General features: G+C 38.2%; 2 pseudogenes; both read left to right on the top strand.

Moving 5' to 3' along the window:
- TPT1P6 (TPT1 pseudogene 6) lies at nt 457–1,286 on the top strand (annotated as a pseudogene).
- DUTP5 (deoxyuridine triphosphatase pseudogene 5) lies at nt 1,344–1,935 on the top strand (annotated as a pseudogene).

The raw sequence follows: 7,513 nt of genomic DNA, 5'->3' as shown, positions 1-7,513 counted from the left end.
GTCGTCTATCCTGAAGAATGTTCCATGTGCCCTTGGAAAGACTGTATATTCTGTTGTTGAGTGGAGTGTTATTTAGATGTCTGCTGGGTTTACTTAAAGTGTTGTTTAAGCCTTTTATTTTCTTCTTGATCTTCTGTCTCCTTGTTCAATCGATTATTAAAAGTGAGGTATTGAAGTTTCCGATTGTTGTTATTGAATTGACTATTTCTCTTTGCAATTCTGTCAGTTTTTACTTCGTGTATTTTTAGATTTTGTTGTTATATGTATACATGTTTATAATTGTTTTTCTTATTTCTGATGAATTTATTCTTTTATCATTATAAAATGTTCTTCTTCTTAAAGTCTACTTTGTCCGATATTAATATAGCAACTCCAGCTCTCTTTTGGTAACTTTATGCATTTTATTCCCTTCACCATCCTTGTATTTTCTTGCTTTGGTTCTTGAAATTTGTTTTTCTTTTCCGCTGCACCCCGCTCCCTTGGAGTGCTGCTCAGGCTGCACCCCGCTCGCTCTGAGCTCTGGGCTCCTGCTATGCTAATGCCGCCATCGTCTGCCTTCAGCCACCATCATGATTTATCTACTGGGACCTCATCAGCCATGATGAGATGTTCTCCCACATTTACAAAATCCGGGAGACTGCGGATGGGCTGTGCCTGGAGGTGGAGGGGAAATTGGTAAGTAGGACAGAGGGTAACATTGATGACTTGCTCATTGGTGGAAATGCCTCCGCTGAAGGCACTGAAAGCGAAGGTACCAAAAGCACAGTAATCACTGGTATCCTTACTGTCATGAACCATCACCTGCAGGAAACAAGCTTCACAAAAGAAGCCTACAAGAAGTATAATACACCAAAGATTACATGAAATCAACCAAAGGCAAACTTGAAGAACAGAGACCAGAAAGAGTAAAACCTTTTATGACAGGGGCTGCAGAACAAATCAAACACATCCTTGCTAATTTCAAAAGCTACCACTTCTTTATTGGTGAAAACATGAATCCAGATGGCATGGTTGCTCCACAGGACTACCGTGAGGTTGGTGTAACCCATGTGGGATTTCCTTTAAGGATGGCTTAGAAATGGAAAAAAAATTAACAAATTTGGCAATGACTGGATCTATTACCTGTCATCATAACTGGCTTCTGCTTGTCAGCCACACAACACCAGGACTTAAGACAAATGGGACTGATGTCATCTTGAGCTCTTCATTTATTTTGACCATGATTTATTTGGAGTGGAGGCATTGTTTTTAAGAAAAACATGTCATGTAGGTTGTCTAAAAAAAAAGAAAGAAACGTTTTTGAATCTAAAGTATATGTTGACATTTTTGGCCAGTTCCCTGCCATCCTGTGCTCCCTAGTTCCCTGGGCTCTCTCCTTGCTTGCCTTCTTGCTCTGCCATAACCTGCTCTGAAGAAACACCCACCATTTCCCCCAGCAAATCGGCTGGCCTGTGGAGGAGGGTGACATGCAGCTGTGCCTTGCCCAGCTCTCTGAGCATGCCATGGCTCCAACCTGAGGGTCTGTGAGAAGTGCAGGCTACAACTTGTACAATGCCTATGATTAGACAATACCACCTATAGAGAAAGCACTCATGAAAATAGACATTCAGGTAGCTCTTCCTTCTCTGGGTGTTAGGAAGAGTAGTTCCATGGTCTGGCTTGGCTGCAAAACATTTTATTGATGTAGGAGCTGGTGTCATAGATGAAAATTATAGAGGAAATGTTGGTGTTGCACTATTTAATTTTGGCAAAGTTTGAAGTCAAAAACAGTGATCAAATTGCACAGTTCAGTGCTGAATGGATTTTTTTATCTAGAAATAGAAGTTCAAGCTTCGGATGACACTGAAAGGTGTTCAGGAGATTTTGGTTCCACTAGAAATAATGAAAATTTATGCCAAGAATAGAAAATGAGAAATTATACATTTTTCTTAAAAATTGGCCAGGCGCAGTGGCTCATGCCTGTAATCCCAGCACTTTGGGAGGCCGAGGCAGGCAGATCACAAGGTCAAGAGTTGGAGACAAGCCTGACCAACATGCTGAAACCCCATCTCTACTAAAAACAAAAAAAATTAGCCAGGTGTGGTGGTGTGTGCCTGTAATTCCAGCTACTCAGAAGGCTGAGGCAGGAGAATTGCTTGAACCTGGGACGCGGGGGTTGTAGTGAGCAGAGACCGAGGCACTGCACTGCAGCCTGGACAACAGAGGGAGACCCCGTCTCAAAAAAATAATAATAATAAAATAAAATAAAGAATTTTTGCTTAAAAAAAGTATATATTTTGTAGACAGCATGTGGCTGGAACATGTTTTTTAATCTATTTTCCAATCTCTGCCTTTTGATTGGAATTTTAATCCATTTACATTTAATGTCATAACTGATATGAAAATATTTATATCTGCCACTTTACAATTTGTGTTATATATTTCTCTTATGCCCTTTTTTGCTCCTCCAGCCCTTCATTATTGCCTTCTTTTCTGTTACATATATATTTTTTATTGTATCATTTTAGTTCCCCTTCTTTTTTTATTTCACTATGTTTTTGACTTATTTTCTTAGTGAGTGCCCTGGAGATTATAATTAACAATTATAACAAGCACTTTGGATTAATACCAATTTAATGTCAATAATACACAAAAACTTTGCCACTATATGTTTGTTCTATCACCCCATTTTCCATTTTTGTGTTACCATTGTTACATAAATTACATCTTTATACATTATAGGCTCATCTAATTATTACTTTATGCAGTCATATTTTATTTTTATTTCATTTATTTATTTAATTTCCATTTTATTTTAGATTCAACAGGTACATATGCAGGTTTGTTACGAGGGTATATTGTATGATGCTGAGGCTTGGGCTTCCACTGATCCCAGCACTCAGATAGTGATCCCAACTTCCAATAGGAAGTTTTTCACCCCTCTCCCTCTCTCTCCCTTATAGTAGTCCCCGGTGTTTATTGTTCCAAACTCTATGTCTAGATTTAGCTCCCACTTATGAGTGAGAACATGTGATATTTGGTTTTCTGCTCCTGCGTTAATTTGCTTAGTACGATGGCCTCCATCTGCATTCACGTTGCTGCAAAGAACATGATTTCATTCTTTTTTATGGCTACATGGTATTCCATAGTGTATATGCACAATACTTTCTTTGTCCAATCCACAGTTGGTGGGCACCTAGGTTGTTTTCCTGTTTTTGCTATTTTGAATAGTGCTGTAAGGAACATAGAAGTATATGTGACTTTTTGGTAGAACAATTTGGGTATATACACAGGAATGGGATTTCTAGGTCAAATGGTCACTGTTTTAGCTCTTTGAGAAATTTCCAGGGTGCTTTCCATAGTGGCTGAACTAATTTACATTCTCACCAACAGTGTTTAAGTGTTCTCGTTTCTTCACAGCCTCACCAATGTCTGTTATTTTTTGAATTTTTAATAACAGCCATTCTGACTAGTGTGAGATGGTATCTTACTGTGGTTTTGATTTGCATTTCTCTGATGATTAACAATGTTAAGGATTTTTTCATACGTTTGTTGGCCACTTTTATGTCTTTTTTGAGAAGTGTCTGTCCTTTGCTCACTTTTTAATGGGGTTATTTGTTTTTGTCCTGTTGATTTATTTAAGTTTCTTGTAGATTATGGATATTAGACCTTTGCTGGATACATAGTTTACGAATGTTTTCTCCCGTTCTGTAGGTTGTTTACTCTGTTTTGAGTTCCATTTGCTGTGCAGAAGCTCTTTGGTTTAATTTGTTCCCATCCACCAGTTTTTGTTTTTCTTGTAATTGCTTTTGAGGATTTGGTCATAAATTATTTGCCACAACTGATGTTGAGAAGGGCATTTCCTAGGTTTTCTTCTAGGACTTTTATAATTTGAGATCTAACATTTAATTATTTCATCCATCTTGAGTTAATTTTTGTGTATGGTGATAGGTATGGGCCTAGTTTTTTCTGCATATGGTTAGCCAGTTTTCCCAGCACCATTGATTGACTAGAAGTCCTTTCCCCATTGCCTATTTTTGTGAACTTTGATGAATATCAGTTGGTTATAGGTTGATTATGATAAGTGAGCACCCTTTGATTCCTGTTTTTTTAATAAAAAAAAAATTGGCTGGGCACTGTGGCTCAGTTGTGTAATCCTAGTGCTTTGGGAGGCTGAGGTAGGAGGAGTACTTGAACCCAGGAGTTTGAGACCAGCTTGGGTAACATAGTAATACTCTATGTCTAAAAAAGAAAAAAAATATATTAACTGCCTGTGGTGGCACCTGCTTATAGTCCCAGCTACTCAGCTTCTCTTGAGTACTTCTCCTGAGTAGCTGGGACTACAAGGTCCCAGCTGAGATGGGAGGCTGCAGTGAGCTTTGATCCTGTCACTGCATTCCAGTGTGGACAACAGAGCAAGACCCTGTCCCCTCACCTTACCCTCAAAATAACTGATTTTTGATTTTTTAAGAAAATCATTTATTGAAGTGATTAACTATTTTTCCTTTTTGACATTTTAACTTGATGTTTTGCTAATATTGAACAAACTTTGCATTCCCAGACTAAAGTGTCTTTAATCATGGGATTGTGGTATTTTAAAATATTGTTTGACTTTATTTTCCAATATTTTATTTAGGATTTTTGTATCAATATTTATGAGTGAACCTGGGATATAGTTTTCTGTTAAGTTTTAGAATCAGTGTTACATGGTTTTATACAAATAATTGGAAATCTTTCCACCTTTTTCCTCTGGAAAATTTAACAAACATTTAAATATTTATTCCTTGAAGGTTTGAAAGACTTCATCTGGAAAATGCTCTAATCCTTGTACTTTGGAGGATATTTAGTCTTAGGTAACTTGAAAAATATTTTCCAGGGTTATAAATTTTTGTAGATTGTCTGCTTACTCGAGTTTTTTTTTTTTTTAATTTGTATCCTTCTCAAAAGCTATAAAATTTTTTTTTCTGGATTTTCAAACTTATTAACAAGGAGTTTAAATTACCTCACTATTGGTAATCATTTTTACTTTCTCATTCTTAATTGTTCTTTTATTTTACAATTTTATCATAGTGATATCAAAGGATGTGATTTAAACTATTTGCTGTAGGATGTTCCTTTCTTTTTCTTTTCTTTTCTTTTTCTTTTCTTTTCTTTTTTTTCTTTTTTTTTAGACAGAGTCTCCTCTGTTTCTCAGGCTGGAGTGCAGTGGCGCAGTTTCAGGTCACTGCAACCTCCACTTCCCGGGCTCAAGGGATCCTCCCACCTCAGCCTCCCAGGTAGCTGGGACTATAGGCTTGCGCCACAACACCCAGCTAATTTTTTACATTTTTGGTAGAGCTGAGGTTTCGTCATGTTGCCCACGTGGGTCTTGAATTCCTGAGCTCAAGAGATCCACCCTCCTCAGCCTCCCAAAGTATTGAGATTACAAGCATGAGCCACTGCACCTGGCCCAGGATGCTCCTTTTTGACATTAAGTCAGCTGAATGGCTTGGGAAGCAGGCCATGTTCTTTCAAGTGTGTACCCTTTCTTAACCAATGCAGTCTAGAGGCTTGCTTGAAAATGTGATCCCAAGACCACCAGCACTGACCTGGCCAGGGAGCTTGTTAGAGATGTAGAATTTCAGGTCCCACCCCAGACTTACAGTCACAACCTACATATTTAGCAAGATCTACTAGTGATCCATGTGTACATTAAAATTCTGGAGAATTTCATACTTTAAATCATAACATTTAATTTGATTGTGAATGTCTTCCACATCACATGTTATTTCTTAATGTTGCACTTTTAAAATAAATGAAATCCATCTTTCATTATAATCTAGCAAAAAGCAAGTTTTTAAAGTTAAGACACTGAATACCAGTGTAAAATTGCCACCACTTTTCTGAGGACCTAATTACAGCTGGGACTGGCTCCTAACCACATTCTGATTTCATCCTTTCTTCCATATACCCTCCCTTCTACTGCTTACTAACTTTTAGAATTAGGACCTGAGGATTTTGGCTCTGCAGACTAGGCAGACAAGGTCACACCCCCACTGAACTGCAAAATCAAGGTAATAACAATGTTTTTGTCTGTATGTTTTTCTGTGATGCTCTGGTTTGAGCTCAAGCCACGAAGCAGTGATGCCAGCCCTTGTGCTGAACATCAATGGCAAGAAACAAGCAGTGCATTCTTTCTTCCTCGCAGCACAGCAACTCCAGGAAACCAGAGGAAAGGAGGGCAGGGAAAGACCAGCAAGCTGGTAGCCACAGAGGAGCTTGAAAGGTTAGGATTGGGCACAAGTCAAGCTAGTGTATGCATCTCAGGAATTAGGGCTTTGCGGAAGTAATTCATAAAAATATATTACATTCTCATCATGCCAGACCAATGACCTTTCTCAAGTAAATTGTCTTACATCTAAAAACATGGCAAGTATTCTGGATTTCCTGGCTGTTGCGTTTCATTTTTGTGCATAATAACTCTGGAACTATCTCTGGCAGAGGGGAATTTCCAAACAAGCAAGAAGTGGATAAACCATGGCAGCTCATTCTTGTAGGGCCTATCAGGTTACCCAGGAAGGCAACTTCATCATGTCCAGGATCAGTAGTACCTTCAGCAAACGTGTAGCTCACTTAGCTCAGAAAAAAATGCTGATCCTTGGTCCAGCCAATAACCTGGATGAGACCGAATCCTCATATTGGTGAAGCTTGACACAAACAATCTACTCAATTGGCATGTGTGTAAGAAATTGGCAATGCCTGTTCCACAAACATCTGCAAAATTTTGAGAGGAGGTTTTGACTAACTTAACTCCTTTAAGCTCTTACCAACTAGGTGTTTTTTAGGTTGCTTTACGATCAGACCTTCCTGGAATCAGGGGATTGCTTTGGTCTGGATTAGATCTCCTGTATCGCACATGCCACTAAATGGACCCCCGAGATGACATTTCAGATCCTGGATCAGGCCCCATTGTATATAGCTCTCCTCTTCCTCTCTCCCATTCTTCTGTTCCTTTCCTCTTTTGTCTTCCACCTCTCTCTCTATTTCATTACCCCCACAGACTTATATTTGGGATCCCCAGAGCATTGCATCAGTTATCCAGTAGACATCTATTATGTATCAGACATAATGCTGGATCACTGTTATCTTGGATGGTCAGAGGAAAAAACTTTCTAAGGCAGGCGAAACTTGAACAATAATAAGCTAAGATAGTCTTATTGAAGTTTCTTGAAGCAAAACAAACAAATGTTGCTGAGGTCTGGACTAATTCCTCCGGGACTTATTGTTCCTCCTTCTTTTACATTCTTTCTAGTCCAAAGTGAAATATTAGATTTGTAGAATAGATTTTGATTATATTTAGAATTTTCTCAATATAATAAATATAGAATAAATAGTTATGAACATTCTTTCAAGTATTAGTAATTTTCACTGCAAATTGAAGATCTAAACTTAAATTCCCAAGCATGTATTAATTCATTTGAACTTCTCATATTGGTTCACAAAGAAAGCATCCTCTCTAAAATTCCAGATGTGTAATTGACCCTACTGTTTCCTC

This window comes from Homo sapiens, chromosome 6, assembly GCF_000001405.40.
Source record: "Homo sapiens chromosome 6, GRCh38.p14 Primary Assembly".
NCBI classification, from domain to species: domain Eukaryota; kingdom Metazoa; phylum Chordata; class Mammalia; order Primates; family Hominidae; genus Homo; species Homo sapiens.
Note: the sequence above shows the minus strand (reverse complement) of the source record. Positions and strands in the feature narration are given on the sequence as shown.